The sequence below is a fragment of the Homo sapiens genome, chromosome 2, assembly GCF_000001405.40.
Source record: "Homo sapiens chromosome 2, GRCh38.p14 Primary Assembly".
In the NCBI taxonomy this organism is placed as follows: domain Eukaryota; kingdom Metazoa; phylum Chordata; class Mammalia; order Primates; family Hominidae; genus Homo; species Homo sapiens.
In genome coordinates, this window is record NC_000002.12 from 134,282,607 (window position 1) to 134,300,083 (window position 17,477).

The 17,477-nt window shown below is 40.1% G+C and overlaps 1 protein-coding gene across 23 annotated transcripts in view, besides 5 other annotated features; it reads left to right on the top strand.

The window, feature by feature from the left end:
- MGAT5 (alpha-1,6-mannosylglycoprotein 6-beta-N-acetylglucosaminyltransferase) overlaps nt 1-17,477 on the top strand; it is a 334,687-nt gene that overhangs the window by 162,672 nt on the left and 154,538 nt on the right. The gene's annotated exons all lie outside the window — the stretch shown is intronic.
- Nucleotides 4,517-4,576: an enhancer, noted in NCBI's record as "active region_16556". NCBI's record gives its function as "activates an Ori minimal core promoter by ATAC-STARR-seq in GM12878 lymphoblastoid cells {active_cell/tissue: GM12878}" and the evidence as "EXISTENCE:reporter gene assay evidence [ECO:0000049][PMID:35858748]".
- Nucleotides 4,691-4,770: an enhancer, noted in NCBI's record as "active region_16557". NCBI's record gives its function as "activates an Ori minimal core promoter by ATAC-STARR-seq in GM12878 lymphoblastoid cells {active_cell/tissue: GM12878}" and the evidence as "EXISTENCE:reporter gene assay evidence [ECO:0000049][PMID:35858748]".
- Nucleotides 4,841-4,890: an enhancer, noted in NCBI's record as "active region_16558". NCBI's record gives its function as "activates an Ori minimal core promoter by ATAC-STARR-seq in GM12878 lymphoblastoid cells {active_cell/tissue: GM12878}" and the evidence as "EXISTENCE:reporter gene assay evidence [ECO:0000049][PMID:35858748]".
- Nucleotides 4,911-4,990: an enhancer, noted in NCBI's record as "active region_16559". NCBI's record gives its function as "activates an Ori minimal core promoter by ATAC-STARR-seq in GM12878 lymphoblastoid cells {active_cell/tissue: GM12878}" and the evidence as "EXISTENCE:reporter gene assay evidence [ECO:0000049][PMID:35858748]".
- Nucleotides 6,957-7,006: an enhancer, noted in NCBI's record as "active region_16560". NCBI's record gives its function as "activates an Ori minimal core promoter by ATAC-STARR-seq in GM12878 lymphoblastoid cells {active_cell/tissue: GM12878}" and the evidence as "EXISTENCE:reporter gene assay evidence [ECO:0000049][PMID:35858748]".

The following is a 17,477-nucleotide window of genomic DNA, read 5'->3' on the forward strand; positions in this document are numbered from 1 at the left end:
CACTGTCTAGGCACTGGAGATAGTGATGAGCAAAACCATCTCTTCTTTCTGGAGATGACACTCCAGCAGTGAAGGCAGATAGGAAACAAATACATAAACACATCTGGTGAAAAATGCTTGAGGAACAGCAAAGTAGGGTAAGAAATTAGCGAAGGAAGTGGGTGCTGTTTCAGGTTTGAGGCTTGTCAAGAAAGCCTCTCTGAAGAAGAGAGATTGAGCAGAGACCCATATTATTGAGTGAGGGAGGCCTGGGGTTCTCCAGCTAGCTGCCAGCAGGATCAGTCTGTACAACAGCCCAGGGCACATTCTTCCTGGGTGCATTTAAGAACCACTGTTGGGCCCTTTTAATTCTAATACAGAAGGTGGCCTATTAAAACCAAAACCGAAAAAAAAAAAAAGGACCCTTTACTGTATCATCTGTCATTTATGTTTCTGCTAGGCTCAAACTAGACTTTTGAGAGAGCAGTGTTGGAACCACAGAAAGGTCTGGATGTGTTAACGCATTGGTTCAGCATGTGATGAGACTTGTGTGCGCAGTACAGACTCAGGCTGCTGGGGTTCAAGTCTGAGTTCCACAGTGGTGCAACTGTGGTGAAGTCATTTAGAGAGGTTAAGTCTCAGTTCTCTCATCTGTACAGCAGAAACTAGCTCATGGGGCCACATGAGAAAGTGTCTGTGGAGGGAGGGCTGGCACATGGTTAAGTGCTCAGGAAATACTGGCTGTTGCTATAATTAACAAAATGTGGTTTTGGCAAATGGTTTTAAGAGGGTCTGTATGTGCCTTTGTTCCATAAGTTTTTAACCAAAACTAAGGAGCCTCGAAAATTATGTTAGAGGCACCAAATGGGGAGCAGGTTCTAGTCATTCATCAAAGAAGGGGCTAAATAAAATCAAGATTTAACAGAAGGATCACACATTTGAGGTAGGGTTTGGAGTTTCAGTCATGAAGTCGGTGCACAGTTTATATAGGGTTCAACTTCTTGTCTGTAGGTGCCTGTCTCTATTCACATTTAAAGCCATTGTTGAGGAATGTAGTATCTTTTTTTTTTTTTTTTTTTTTTTTTTTTACAGAAACTCTTCTCAGTTTGGAGAATGTGGGTGTGTGGCTTTGAGGCTTCAGAATCCCACCGTGAAGTTGTCATTGGTCTTCATGGTTATTTATGAGGCTTGACTTAAGCTGGGTCCTGTTCTTAACAGGAGAACGATACAGCTTCCCCCGGCCGCTGGGTTCTCTTTCTGTGATGCAAGGATACATCGCTGCACTAGGCTCTCTGAGAAATTTGTGACTGGCTAGCAATTAGAGTTGAGAATGTAAACTGGCCACAGATTGAGGAATTCCAGGCTAGAGACTGTGAGCCCTAGTGAAGAAATGTAGGGTCAGGGCTCAGGAGGCTGGGATTAAGCCCACTGCTGACAGAATTGATGCTGAGACCTTCAGCACATCACATTATCTTTGTTTCCTCTTTCAGATCCAGAGATTCATGAGCTTTTATAAGTGGAAAAGATTTAGATGTTCTAACATTTCCTCCAAATGGGAGATTGCAACTTTCCAAAATCCTTGGTGGATGGTTCTCCAGATTTATCTCAACAGTTCTAGTGCTGGAACTTTTAGCTGCCATACTGTTGAACTTTAGTGGGCCACATTTACATAGCCTGTGTCAGGGGTCAACAAACTGTGGCCCATGGGCCAAATTAGTCCACTGCCTAAATTTATAAATAAAGTTTTATTAGAACACAACCTTGCCCATTTGTTTACTTACTGTCTGTGGCTGCTTTCATGCTACAGCTGCAGAATTTAGTGGTTGTACAGGAGACCATAAGGCCCACAAAATTGAAAATATTTCCTATCTGGCTTTTTACAGAAAAAGTTTGCCAACCCCTGGCCTAAATGAATGGTGCTGTCTGGAATGCAGTACATAGTCTGCATGCAACCCTGTGTGCTAAACATATTAGATTTGTAAAGTGTTCATAAAATAGAGCAAAAAAAAAAAGCCACTGTTTATGGAGAGATCGCTGTGTCCCAGACACAAATAATAACTTTAAAATACTTTATTAGTTCTTTCCTCAGAGCAAACCTGCAGAACAGTTATCTCAATTTAAGAGGATCAGGGTAGGATATGATGTGTAATCTACCCAAAATGGTGGCAGTCTGAGCCAGGGTTCAGATCCTGGCTGGTGCATCTCTAATGTGCCCATTTAATCTGCCACTGCTGGGACAATCGCATTTTATTGTGCATCACACCAGAAGGTCACGTGTGGCATTTTTAAAGATGAAAATAGTTTAAGGCTCAAGAGTGGAAGGTAATCTAAGAGTCCACACCTTTCTGGCCATTTGGATATTGTTGTAAATGTTTCAGGTGTTAAGCATACTTAATTTTGTGAGTTTTGATTTTTTGTTTTGGTCTTCTTTTTGTTATTGTGTATTGATTGCCCTTTGATTTTCTTCTTTACCGTTATATATTTTAAATGAGGTAATTGTCTCTAGAGAAATATCTAGAATTGTTTTCCAATTCTTTTTCTGATTTAAAAATTAAAAACACTTTTTATAATGCTTGATAAGGCCAAGTTATGTAGGAAATTTGGAAAATACAGAAAAGAATAAGGAAAAAAAAGTCTTGTAATCCTGTTTTCTAGAGCACTGTCAATGACAGCTTTTTTTTTCTGTGTGTATATTGCATAAAGATTATAATTGTACTCTTTGTTTTAAAGTCTTGATTTTTAAGGGAGCATTCTCTTTATTCTTCAAAAGCTTTATTTTTAAATAACTACATAATAACTAGGTTCTCAATTTTTGTTTTTCCTTTTTTCTACTACAAAGATCATTGTGGTGAACATAAATCTTTGCATTATTCTCTTGGGAGAGTTTCTTAGAAACAGAATGGCTAGGTCAAAGGGCATAAGCCCTTTTTAAGTTTAGTATTTATTTCTGTCAAATTAGTACATGTATATAATTTTAAAAGTATAAATTTAAAGGTCAAATAGTATAAGACTGTAACCAGTCTGTCTTCTGCTATATACTTCATTCCTCCTTACCCCTGACTTTTGTTCTGGAAACACAAATACTTCTAACTCTTGTTTCTTCCAGTAATATATTTTCATATTTCTCCATAACATGTTTATGTTGCTTTTTTCTTATCTTGCATTTTTTTGAGGTTATCTACTGATTTTCTGTTATGGAAGATGGGAATTTAGCTCTCTGACACTGCCACCATTGCCAGCAACCCCTCCGCTACATGGCTCCTCTCTGTTTTCCAGAATCAGAATGTCCTAAATATTTGCTGGGGTCAAATTTAGTGGTCAGTGCTTACTTTATAAGGACACTGCTTAGCCACTTACTAAAATAAAATAAGGTGATAGTAAATTGCCATTCTGATACATCTTTCTGTTTTTCCCAGCGTTAATAATTTACTTCTTATGTTTGCATTGTTTTGATTAATTAGGACAATATTTACTAATTATCTTCTGTGTGCCAAGCCACACATCAGTGAACAAAACAAAAAAAAATTCTTACCCTTACCAAAATTCAGCCCTAAACATTCCATCAGAGAACCCTTCTTACTGTGGCCCACAGATCAAATAGTTTACCATGCTTTTATTCAGTAGTCGTCTTCCTGATGCTTTCTGCCCTCCTGTGACAGGCTGGCCTGGCTGCATCCTGGGCCTGCTGTACAGTTGTCGTAGGACTGTTTCCAAAGCCCCTTTTCCCCTTTGGTGCTGGGTCTTTTATTTCTTAGATTCCACATTTTCCCCTTTGTTGGTTTCTTGCCTCATCCTGTAATAGTTTTCTGAGAGAAGAAGGTAAATGGAGGGGAAATCATGAGATTTCTTTTTCTTTTTTTTTTTAAGATGGAGTCTCGCTCTATTGCCTAGGCTGGAGTATAGTGGCGCAGTCTCTGCTCACTGCAACTTCTGCCTCCTGGGTTCAAGCAGTTTTCCTGCCTCAGCCTCCCAAGTAGCTGAGATTACAGGCACCCAGCTAATTTTTGTATTTTTAGTAGAGACGGGGTTTTACCATGTTGGCCAGGCTAGTCTTGAACTCCTGACCTCAGGTGATCTGCCTGCCTCGCCCTCCCAAAGTGCTGAGATTATAGGTGAGCCACCGCGCCCAACTGAGGTTTCTTGAATTTTGGAAAATGTCTTTATTCTGCCTTCCCACTTGAATGATACATTCGTTGCATATAAAATTCTAGGTTTGAACATGTTTTTCCCTAAACAATGTGAAGATCTTGTTCCTTTGACCTCTGCTTTTCAGAGTCATTTTTGCAAAGTCCAGAGGCATTATCACACCTAGATGTGACTTTTGGCCTTCTGGAAGCTGGTGGGATTTGCTTCTACCTTGTGTTCAGATGTTTCCTGTGCCTGGTGTGGACCACATTTCATCCTTTTTCTGACTCTTCTGTGACATCTTTCTTGTCTGGGAAATTTTTGTGAACTGTTTATTGAGTAGTCTCATCTCCCTACAGTCTTTCTTCTAGAACTCACTGGGTGGATTGTGCACATTGGGGCTCTATTCCTACCCCTTCTCTCATATCACTTTTCTCTCATCTTATCCTTCCTGTTCATCTTATGGCTGTATTTTCTGTAAGATTTTCACAACTTTACATCCAGCTCGTCTCCTGAATTTAATTCTTCTATTTTAGTCTTCTTTCCAAGAGTTGTTGTTCTCTCAAGGTCTTTTAAAAAACAAAAATCCTATTCTTGCTCTGATTTCATGAATCAATATTCTTCGCTCATCTGTGAGGTATTATATTTAAAAATATTGTTAAATCATTTTCTGTTGTATGTATCATCTGAGAGTTTTTCTTTTTCAGTTTGAGTTCACTTTTCTTTCTTTGGTGTGAGAATGTTTTCTCACATATCTGGTAATCTGTAGTGCTGGTTTCATATTTGAGGGTGAGGTTGGCTGTGAGTGAGGGCTGGCAGCTGCTGGGCCACCTCCTAGGGAACCATAGATGACGTTGGACCCTAAATGTCTATTTCAGTCTTTTCTCTTCTGCTTAGTTTCCTCATAGATGGATCCTTCAGCCTTCTGCCCAGGGGCTGCCAGAACTTTGCTTCATAGCTAGAGACCAAGACCTTTTAAAATTTGTAGTAGAGACCTCACTTCCTTTTCCCTACCCTATCCACTGTTGTGAATCTAGAGCCTTTTTTGTTCAATCTCTCTAGAGAGTAAGCCTTTGCTATTTATAACTGGAAGGCTCTAGTATAAGCATCTTAAGACTTGATAGACATTACAAGTTATACTCTGATCAATAATGTATGAATATTCCTGTCTTACATCCTCTGTGTAAATACTTGGTATTTTCCTTTGAAAAATTCACCAGTGTAATAAATGGAAAATGATATTTTACATATGTTTCTTTGATTGTTAGAGAGGTTGTTTTCCATATGTTTTATGGGATTTGTATATTTTGTGAATTTTCTGTCCATGTCTTTCTTTGGTTTTTATTCTCAAGTGCTTACTGAATTTTGAATTCTCTTGCTGGTGTCTGGAAGCAAAGGCCTCCTTTATTTTTGCTGGTTTGGCATGATTTTGTCTCCTGACATGGCTCTGGTAGTTTCTTGTGAGGGTGGAGGCACCTGAAACACTTTATCAGGCACATGATAGACATTGCCTATCAAATGGCTCAACATCAGTTCCACAAAAAACCTAAATGGCCATTCAAGACCTGTTTCTGCCTGTTTCAAGTTCCATATAGGAATTAGATCAGTAGTTGGCAAATGACGGCCTGTGCGCCAAAATCTAGCCCAGTCTGTAAATAAAGTCATGCTGGAACACAGCTGTGCTCCTTTGTTGATGTGTTGCCGTGTTGCCTGTGGCTGCTTTCACATCACAATATCAGAAATTGAGTAGTTGATACAGAGACTACGTGGACAGCAAATCTAGAATATTTACCATCTAGCTCTTTAAAAAAAAAAAAAAAATTCAACCCCTGAAGTAGATGTTTGTTTGTTTGGTGCTTGATACCATGTAAGTATTTGCAAAGGCTTATGGAAATTGATGGTTCATTGTTCTTATGAATAAAAACTAATAAGCATGAATGTCATGCCTTTTGCAAAAACCAATAAATGACAGTGGCAGTCATCTTCCTTCAAATGATGTATGTGAGTGTAATACCTCTGTCAGCCTATCTTCCTGTGAATTCCCCCGATAACTGGTTTCCAGAAATATTGCTGTTGTAGCCATGCTCTCCCCTGACAGCCACCCATTCCCCTTCCCACTCTTCTCCCTCTCCCCTACTCCCACACCTTCTGGAAATATCAGATGTACAAAATGGGCTTCACTTGCTCAAACCTCTCATTGTCACTGTTTTCACAGCATTGTAAAACACATTACATTAAAAAACAAACCAGCTGGTGGAAGCCAGTGGTTAGCACCTAGAAGGTGAAAGACTTGGCGCATGTTTAAACTGCCAGTCTTTTTTGGGTGCCCTTCATCTCCCTTGTCTCTAGGGCCCCATTATTTTTCCTGTGGCTTCTCTACGTCCCCCTGTGTGGCCATCACTTCCATCCTCTTCAAGACCCAGACTTACTCCTCAAGGTCTCTGCTTGCCCTATAGGTTGGGCACCGCAGTGTGCCAGTCTCTCCTCTTCCCACATGCCCTTTGCTCGGCAGGACTGCTCTTCTACTCCATGGACCTGTCTTGTTCCCTCTGACTTTGAGAAGGCAACCATTGCTGGGCTGCATGCTCTTGGGGAACGCTTTTCTCTTCCAGGGTGCCGATCTCTCTTCTGTGGCCCTTCCTAAGTCCTTGCCAATACTGCCCCTTGGTAGTGGCCCGGGCACAAAGCCATCAGCCAGCTGCTTCCTGCCAGTCTCCCATGTGCTACCTGAGTCAGCGGAACACTGTGTGTTGTGTGCATGTAGATGTTGAGGGACTTTGGTGTGGTTGCAGGGTTCTGCCGAAAGTTGTCAGCGTAGCAGGCCTGACATAGCTGTCTTTAGAAAGGTCTGCTTGCAAGACTAACCATGGACTAGCATCTGAGAATTTGGATCTTGGAAATCCAGTTTCCTACCATATGCTGATAAGAGTGACTGACTATGCTTCAACCATGTGTACAAATAATATGGTTTATGCTGAACACCTGCATTCCTTCTGGGAGTCTGGAATCTTGGCACATGTTAGGTACAGTGACCAACACTCAGTAAGACACAGAGTCTCTAAAGACCTTCCTTGGTAGACCACATTTGTCGTCACAGCTCGTTGCTGGAGGAATTAAGCATGCCCTATATGACTCCGCTGGGAGAGGATTCTTGGAAGCTTGTGCCTGGTCTCTGGACATTGCCCCATGCACCTTTTTCCTTTCCTGATTTTTGCTTTGTATCTTTTTGCTATAATAAATCTGAACTGTTAGTACATATTCATGAGTATGTACTGTGAGTATATATGCTGAGTGCTATGAGTCCTCCTAGCAAATCATAGAACTTGGGAGTGGTCCTGGGAACCCACCCCTGACACAAGGACTTCTCAGAGCTGGAGAGCTTTCCAGGTCATGCAGATTCAAGGCAGACTGTGAGGTATTTGATAGTCCTACTCGTGTGTTCTCATGTGCATCCCATCTTTCCAAAAGTGCACACTTGAAACAGATGATTTTGAGAAGAGCTGCTTCTACCAACTTGATCTTGGCCACTTGTTGTATTGTTGTGCGTTCTTAGTTTTTCTACTTTTACCATTTCTGGCCAGAGCTGTCACTTTTAAAAATTACTCCGTTGATGTTGCCTAGCAAGAGCCACTCAGCTCTTTGTGGGGAATTAAAGTAGATTATAGGTTGAGGCCAGTTGCACTTACTGTGCTGCAAATTGGGGACTGATGATCTAGTCATCCTCTTCCTTTCTTACACACTTCCTTCCTGTGTCTTTTCCACATGCAAACTTGAGGTATGGCTTCCTGTCTTTAGTCATTTCATATAGTTTGGTTTGTGCTATCTTTGGTCATAGAAATTGTTCTTCTAAAACCTCTCCAGATCATCCTTCATTTCTGTGTTGGACATGCATCCTCCATGGCTGGTTTTACTTTACAAGGGGTGCTCCCCCTGAAAACAGCACTGGCAGGATGGCCATGCACAGTTGATTGCTGTGACAGAGGGGCTTGCTGATCCTGTGGCTTTATCTCTATCTGGTGTCTGCTATGAGTAGAGAAACATGGGAGAGATTGAGCTGCAAAGCAAAGCCAGTTTATCCAGTGCTTTACAGTTGTGGTTTAAAAAAAATTTACAAAGCATGGTGGAATAATTCTCTCAGATGAGCCATGCAGAGGGAATCCACTTGATCAGATTGGCTATATGGAGTTGGAGGATCAATTATGTGACTCAGTAAGTGCTTATTGCGTGTCTTCTAGGTGCCAGAAACGTAATGCAAAACAAAATACACAAAAATACCTCACTTCAGAGAGCTTATATTCTAGCAAAGGAGACTGGCCATAGACAGTTTACATGTAATGTCAAGGAGTGAGAAATCTTATTTAGAAAACACACACACACACACAAAACATAAAGCAAGGTTAAAAGAGAAAATTGCCTGGGAAAGAGGTTGAAGGTGTGTAGTGGACTAAATGTTTGTGTCCTCTCCAAATACATATGTTGAGATCCTAACCCCCAAGGCGATGGTGTTAAATGGTCTGGGGCCTTTGGGAGGTGATTAGGTTTTGAGGGGAGAGCCCTCATGAATGAGATTATTGCCCTTAGAAGAAGACACCAGAGCTTGTTTTTTCTCTCTGTTCTTGTCTGTGAGGATACAAGGAGAAGATAGCTATTAGCTAACCAGGAAGAGGGTCCTCACCAGACACGGAATCTTCCCACATGTTGATCTTAGAATTTTAGTCTCCAGAATTATGAGAAATAAAAGTCTGTGGTAATTTGTTATAGCAGCCCAGACTAAGACAAGGTACGTTTAGGATGGGGAAGGCCTCTGAAGGAGTGATGTTTGAACCAATATATAAATGAAGTGAGCCACTACCTGGAAAAGCATTCATGACAAGGAACAGCAGGGAGAGAGTCCAGGACTTGAGAAGTTCCTTAGCACGTTCATAGGGCGAAGTAAGGTCAGTGTGGCTGGCGTGCAGTGAATGAGGGCAAGAGACATATGGACTCAGGTTGAGAGCCCTGTAAGGCAAGTTAGGGTCACTTATTTGATACTGTGAGAATATATTTAAGTGTGATAACAGCTGCTATGACTACTTGCTTAGTCAGTTTTCCCTAGAAGCTTTTAAAGTTTGGGCCCTGCTAGAATCTTTTGATGTTTTACATTTGGTGATCACTCAAGTGGCGTTAGGTATAGTGCTTCGTCTCTCCCTTTATATCGGCAGTCATAGAATCTGGTTCATTCTGGAACTTTCCGTGACTGTTTCTCTAGAAGGTGTCCGTCTCAGATTCATTAACTCAGTGGTTCTGTCAGGCCTGGTTGGCATATATGATTATACCATTTTTTTTTTGTTTAGAGATGGGCATTTCTAATTTTTAAAAGGGTTGGGCCCACTGATAATTTTAAAATAAAAGGAAACATTTCTTTATCTTGCAAGGCAAATGTTGCCTAATTTAGTGAATATCAATTTAGTGAATGTCATAGCAGTAGTGTGTGGTTTTCAGATTGCGTCTGGGTCCTCAGAACTGAGTGTACCTCAGGGAAGGTATTTACTGTTAATAGCAATTGGAATTGAGAGACAGGAAAACACATTCTGAGACCCAATGCCTTTTACTCAGTGCTGACTCTGCTTCACATATAGCATCTCATTTAATCCTCGCAAGTCTCTCCTCTTCTGGAGGAGGTCAGTGAAGGTCAAAGAGGAGTGGTTTGATTCGGGTCCCTCAGTTCACAGGTGGAACAACTCTCTTCAATCCGACAGGGTGCATTGGGTAAAAGGAGAACTGCTTTCTGTTGCCGGGTCTGCTGCTAACGGAAGGTTTAAACGTGGGGATAAAGCCAGGTTCTGGTTTCTTTCTTTTTGAAATTAGGAGCTTTGGATTTTCCTTAAGGTCTTCAACTTCTGTGATTTTAATACAATTCAGGTTTATTTTCTGCTATCCCTCACCTTTGCTCTGCCAGTCATTACTAGGTGTGGTGGTGTTTTGTTTGTCTTGTTTGTTTTTCCTGTTAGGATCTACCTTCATCTGTGTTCTATGCCATGGGCCACACCTGGTGTTAACACTCCGAGCAAGGGGTAGCTCTTGTAACCAGTGGCTGTGCTGTAGACTCTCAACGACATACAGAGGATCTTTATCAAAGCGTGTTATGTGACTTGCTGCTCTTGCAGCTCTTTGAAACCCCCTGCAGTTGAGCCACATACCTGTGATAAGAATAAGCAGGTACTCAGAAGGCCAGGCTTCAAGGTGGGGTCTCCAAACAGATAACAGATGGAGGTCATGGACCTTCACAGATGTGTGCCTGGCATAGGGCAAATGCATTGTTGTCACTGGGAAAAATAGCTAGCAAGCATGCCTCCAGGGAGTGTGGGTCCTTAACACATGAAAGGCACCTTCACACATGAAAGGTAGCCTATTCTCATTTCATTACAATTCATTTTGGGTATCACTGTGCACCCTTGCTTCTCTTGCATGCTTTTATAACATGTATATGATAATAAGCATTACTACTCAGTGAATAGAAAATACGAAAATTGAAAATGGATGGTAGATTCATTAAATTGGAAATGAATACATTATCAGTGGGTACTTGTTTCCAGGCACTAGGCTGGTTACTTGTGCTGTGATTTTAGTATACGTATGCGAGGGAAATAACATTTAAGCCCACAGATGTTAAGAGTAAGTGCTTTGCTCCGTTCCTTTTCTTCCCTCTTTTACGTATGTGCCTCTGTATTCTTCCTCCCTTCCTTTTCTTATTCCTCCCCCACTTCTTTGCTTTATTTTTTTATTTTTATTTTTTTGAGACAGGGTCAAACTCTGTCACCTAGGCTGGAGTGTAGTGGTGCGATCTGGGTTCACTGCAACCTCTGCCCACCAGGCTCAAGTGATCCTCCCACCTCAGCCTCCTGAGTAGCTGGAGCTATAGGTATACACCACCATGCCTGGCTAATTTTTTGTATTTTTCGTAGAGATGAGATTTCACCATGTTGCCCAGGCTGGTCTCAAACTCCTGAGCTCAAGCGATCTACCTGTCTCGGCCTCCGAAAGTGCTTCCTTGCTTTAAATTGAAGAAAAGCCAAGCTGGAAAACTATAGATTTTGATAGCAGCCAAACCCCTTGAGTCTGCAGTTGGCTGACACCATGATGTGTGATGGCTCCCAGGTCTGCGACTATGGCTTTGCTAGCATGAAATGAGACCATCTCCTCTCCTCATACAGAAGTGTGTGGAGGATGTGAAACAGAGTAGGGAGGTAGGAGGGCTGGACCACATCCTAGGCAGGTAACTTGCCCCCTTTGTTCGTTGGCTTCCCAGACTCCTCGTAGTTGTTTTAGGTGGATCTAGAAAAGATTGCCTCATGGAGCACTGCATGTTCAGTGTAAAGATGTGTCACTTTTCTTACAGCCTCAAATCTTTTGCCTCTGAGTGAGGAGGCAAATGGAGGAGAGAGAAGTTTTATTCTACCTTCCAGGGTGGCTATTCTGCACTGTTTTAGGCATCATCAGGTAAATAAGGCATCCATTGTTCTCTGCGGTTTAGCCCCATAGACCTGTTAAGTCATGGGAAGATCTCTGCACTGGCAGTAAAGTAACTTTTTGTTTTCAGTGTTTTTATTTTTATTTTCATGTTTCCAAGTCTTAATATAAGGTCTTAACGTAGGGGCTTTTTGGAGCTGCTGGGTGATTTTGCCTCACAAACCACTAAGACTAAGTATTCGGGGTATGATGTTCATATTTCTGAGACAAATTTAGAAATACATACAGTCTAACCAAGGATTTTTGTTCCAGGTATATACCACTGCAGGTCAAGTTCTGTGTAAGGGGATTTGTAGTTGTGAATGCCAAGGGCTTGGTTTTATAGAAGGTAGGTGTAAAAAATAGAGGTTCCTCTTCAAAGACTTTCCTCCCCGTCTAATTAAGAATAAATAGTAACTTCTCTTAGAAGCAAAATTTATTCAAAGACCTGTGCTAACATTCTTAAATATCTGCTAGCCGTAATAAAGAAATCAATGTACTTTATGTTCTTAGCTCCCACAATTTAGCCTAAATATTTGCTTATAAGTATGTTTATACTGGTCCAAGCAAGCATTAGGTCATAGTCTGTTCCTCTTCCTTATTTAAATGTGTTTTTACCTTTCTCAGCATTTCACAAGTTACTTCCTCTTTCCTTTGTTCTCCTCTGCCTTTGCCTCTTTTAAAATGTTCTAAGTTGCTAGCCAATCAGGACAAATACAGAATGTGAGGTCCTGTTCCAGCCAATGGAAACTGGACACAGCAGTAAGGTGGACGCGTCAACTTATAAATGACCCTGCCTCCTTTGTTCGGTGTACTATCGTGGCAAAACTGCTGGCAAGTGTACCCTTTCTGTAGAAAGTAAAAATGGCCTTGCTAAGGAAATTAAATTTATGTTCAAGTGCTATTTCTTTATTGCACCGAGGAACAAGCATTTCTAACAGTAGGTTTTAGTATATAGTTTAGATGTTCCTTATGTTGATTGACATTTGATGGCTCTTCAGTGGTTCGAAGATGCCAGAAAAGAACAATGAGAATGGCCAGAAAAATCTAGAAACTATGGTGAAAGTACTTACAAGTTGAATATAGCCATAATAGAACTGGATTGTGCTAGAAGTGACTAAGGTTGGCAGTGGAATTGGGAGCTTAGTAGGCCCAATCAACTGTGTGGCTTTCTTCACTTAGGCAGGGAAAATGTGGTATCTTAGGATCCTCTTGCAGTAATTTCCAAACATAAGAGCTGCGAAATAAGTTATAATTGGAAAAAAATCTTCAATGATGTTGAAAATATTTTTCCCTCTGGATTAGCCTTCTCTTTTATTCTCAGTCATAATTTTAGTAGGGAGTTTTGTTGTCACTTTAAGGGTATTCATTCCATTTCGACTTGTCACCCAGATTCTCTTCGAGGATGACAAGAACAGCCAGTAGTGGCTGGCTTGTGGCTCTTCTGTGCTGTTGCTGGCTGCAGCCAAACAGGAAAGGGCTGTTCGGAGTTTCTATTGGAACCATCAGGAATACTGTTTGGTCAGCTTTGCTACCTGACAGGAATGGTTTTGGGAAGCTTGAATTATACCAAGTTGCAGTCTGTTTCAGTTCAGCCTCTTGCCTTAATATAACAGATACTCCCCTGTCTTAATCTAAACAGTGCTTAAGGGTGGGGAGATGGGTTCGGTGGATTTACAGCATTCCTTCTGAACCCTAAGAATCTGTGGTTTTATTATTTGTAGTGCAACCCAAAAATAACTACAATTTTTATTTGGGAGGTGGAAATTAGAGGTAAAATTCTTTGGAAGGGAAGAGGATTTCATCTAGGAGTGTTTGGCAGCCTCATGCAAACATGTTTGTTCTTATTTGAATTTTGACTCTTGAAATACTGTGATCTTGGCGGTTTAGGCCAAGAGGTGGGGTAAAGAGGAGGATGGGAAACAGACTAAACTCATGGAATTTCATGTAGCTGGGTAGGCCAAGTCGACTCTAGTTTAGTTACCATGTTTTCTTTGTGGCTGTGTCAGAGAATTGGGGATGGACACATGGAATTTAAAAAATAACACACAATTTTAAAAGTTATTACCACCATATAAAACTAGCTGGACCTGGGAGTCAGTTTCTGGAATTTATGGGCATTAAAGAAATGCCGAATATTAAATTACTTGGTTTGGTATCGAGGGAGTGGCTGCCTGGCTCTTAACAGTTTTTGTGAATTTCCTGTTCTTTTTATCCTTGGCTTCAAGTTTTTATTGATGGAAGGTTAAATATTCTTTTTTTTTCCTTTGTAGCATATGACTAAACCTATGGTTCTTTTGCTTCCTCTTTTTTTCCCCTTGTCTTGTTTTTCCCTTTCACCCCAGGAATTAATTATAGTACTTGAAAGAAAACCACTTTCCTTAGTCTTATAAAGTACATAAGAGACAGTAAAAAATAGAAAATCTTTTTATACAACTGACCTTGTTTCTGCAGACATTGTAATCTATTCCACTTAACCTCTCTTTCTTCTGTTATTTTACTTTGTTAAGATAGACTTGACATTTGATTAGGAAAAAAAATATGCATTCAAATGTTATGAGATATAGAATCCAAAAAAGGGAAGATTGCAGAAATTTAAAATAAATGTAAAAGATTACAAGGTAATACAATGAATAAGTTCATACTATGAAATGACACAACTTTGATGACATGGAAAAATTCCTAGACACAATCTGTACTGACTCAAAATCATCTGAAGGTGGGGTGGAGTGGCTCATACCTGTAATTCTAGCACTTTGGGAGGCAGAGGCGGGAGGAGTGCTTGAAACCAAGAGTTTAAGATCAGCCTGGGCAACACAGTGAGACCCCATTATCTACAAAAAATAAAATTAGCTGGGTGTGGTGACACACACTTGTGGTCCTAGCTACTTGGGAGGCTGAGGTGGGAGAATCACTTGAGCCCAGGAGATTAAGATTGCAGTGAGCCTTGATTGTGCCCCTACAGTCCAGCTTGGGCAACAGACTGAGACCTGGTCTCAAAAAAAAAAAAAAAAAAAAATCATCTGAATAGCTCAATAACAAAGAATTTGAACTAATAATTAGAACTTTTCCTACAAAGAAAAACCCATGCTCAGATGGCTTCACTGGTGAATTCTTTTAGGTATGTTAAGAGGAAATGACACTGATTCTTCACAGATTCTTCCATGAAATATAGAAGGAGGGAATACCTTGCAATTCATTCTGCCAGTAACACCCTGTTACCAAAGCTAGACAAAGACATCACAAGTGAACAACAGACCATGAACTCCTATAAACACTGACACAAATTCTTAAAATATTAGAACCCCAAATTTGGCAACATATGAAAAGGGTTATATATAATGAACAATTGGAATTTATTCTAGAAACACAAGGTTGGTTTAACATTCAGAAATCTATTAATATAATACTCCATAATAGAACAAAGGTCAGAAATCATGTTACCTTAATATAAGCAGAAAAGCATTTGAGAAAATCTGATTCATGAAAGCAATTCTCAACAAACTAGGAAAAACATACAGGTTAACATCATACTTACTAGAAAAGAACTGTTTAATTTTTTTTTTCTCCTAAGATTAGGAAAATGGCAAGGCTGTTCACTCTTGCCACTTCTATTCAATAATATATTTGTTAACTGTTGAAGTTAAGTGATGGGTAGAAGGGATTTGTTGTATCATTCTCTGTATCCTTGTGTATGTTTCAAATTTTTTTCTGATAAAAATTGAGGAAAACAAATATAGGTTAAAAAAATAAGTCTACTAGATCCTTAAGTTTTGTTCTGTTTTCTGTTTAGCTAAATTGAGGTTCTAAAACCAGTTATTTTCTTTTAGAGTATGAACGTGTATTTCTTTGGGTTAATGTTGAATTATTTGTATAAATAATAGAGAAAAATATTATCTCTGTATTATTATTTTTGAAACAGGATCTCACTCTGTCTCCCAGGCTGGAGTGCAATAGCGTACTCTTGGCTCACTGCCACCTCCGCCTCCTGGGTTCAAGCAATTCTCCTACCTCAGCCTCCCAAGTAGCTGAGATTACAGACATATGCTACCATACCTGGCTCATTTTTTTGTATTTTTTGTAGAGACGATGTTTCACCATGTTGGCCAGGCTCGTCTTGAACTCCCGACCTCAAGTGATCTACCTGCCTCGGCCTCCCAAAGTACTGGGATTACAAGCGTGAGCCACCATGCCTGGCCTATCTCTGTATTATTTATCACCAAATAAAAATTATGGTGTTTATAAAAAATGTAGAGTTAGAACACTATTTCTTTTCATAATAAGTTATGTCACTTATATTTTTTCCACTCCTAAGAATGATCAGCAAATCAGAGGAGCTGTTAGGGCAGTTAGACACCATGCGGATCATATTCTGTTGTAACAAATCCTTGTTTATCATAATTCAACATCAACTAAATATAGTTGTGAATTTCCAGATGTTGGAAGGTGTTTTCAATAAATTTGGTACTGCAGATGGTTTGGGTGGTCTCCTGGAGTCTCTTTTGATTAGATGTGATCAGAAGTATACTTGAGAGCTTAGTCTAGGATAGGAATTGGAGAAGAGGTAGTTCATAATGGTGATGGTTGAGTGTGTTTATGTAGGCAGGAACCATGGGTTGGGATTGGGGCTGGTTGAGTGTTCTGTATGAAAGACGATTCCAGGCAGGAAGCATGAAAGCAATTTAAGACTGTACCTTCCCTCTGAATGAAAAAGTCAAAAGAAGAATGGAAGAAGAAGGAAGTCACATTTAGAAGATAAGAATTCTTCTGCTTTCTTGTGAAAGTTAGTGTCCCATTTGAGAATAATATTCTTACCTAGATCTTCCCAATTGTACTTTTCCTTCTTGCCCAAAAACACTTGCCCATCGTTTCTTCTTCTTCCCTAGAATTTATATCTTTCCAAGCGTCAATACCACTATCATCATCTGTAGTCCACAAAATCTCTGTCAATTCTGTGAGCCAGTGTTATTCTGGAGCATACAAAAGCAGACTGACACATGGCCACTGACTTTGTGGAAGTTGGTCTCACTGGCTTTGCAGTCTTTGTAGGTATGTGCATTTCTGCACACAAACAAATTCCAATTAGAGGATGGTCAAAGCCAACACCAGATTTTTAGTTTTAGATTGTTCAGTATAGACTAAAAATTTTATAGGTGTTCACAGGCACCCTGGAAGTACCTGTGCGAGCTGGAGTACTCTTGTGAAGTTTCACAGATAGAGGAGAGCTTGAGCTAGGCCTGCAGGTAAGGTAGGGTTTGGAATGCTAATTGCAACCTTCATCAAGTTGAATAAATTGAAGTGAGATTTGTATTTAAGGTTTTGTAGCTTTTTTGTTTTTTAAAATGCAGTGTGTCTGAATCAGGATCTTCTTTATTTCAGCAAGATGAACTACAAGTGTTGGTAAAGGTAGTTAAAATCCCCTCTTCTGATTTCATAGTGGTAGAGCCCAAACCCAGTATCTAATATTTATCCCCTGTCCCCTCTTTTATTCCTCATGAATTTTTTCAGATTGGATGTGTACAGACTCCATTCAAAAATTTTAAAAAGTTCCCATTTCAAAGCTGGTTTCCTTTAATCCCATAGTCCATGTCCAAAGGCCTCTTGTTGCAGTTCTCTCTTCCTGTAGCAAACACCCACCCTTGGATCTTCCCTGGAACACACAAACCTTGCTGCTGCTTAAGAAATTCCTCCCTGGCTTTCCAGTTGACTTGCACTCACCTTGAATATAACTCTCTGAATACCTGTAAGCTCATATCATGAAATTTTGTCATATCATTATAGAAAGCTTTAGTGATTACTCTTTGATCTGCAGCCCTGTTGCAGAGGTTGCTGTTATATTCATTTCTATGTTCTAGTGAGCAGAACAGAAGTAAAGTGAAGATTAA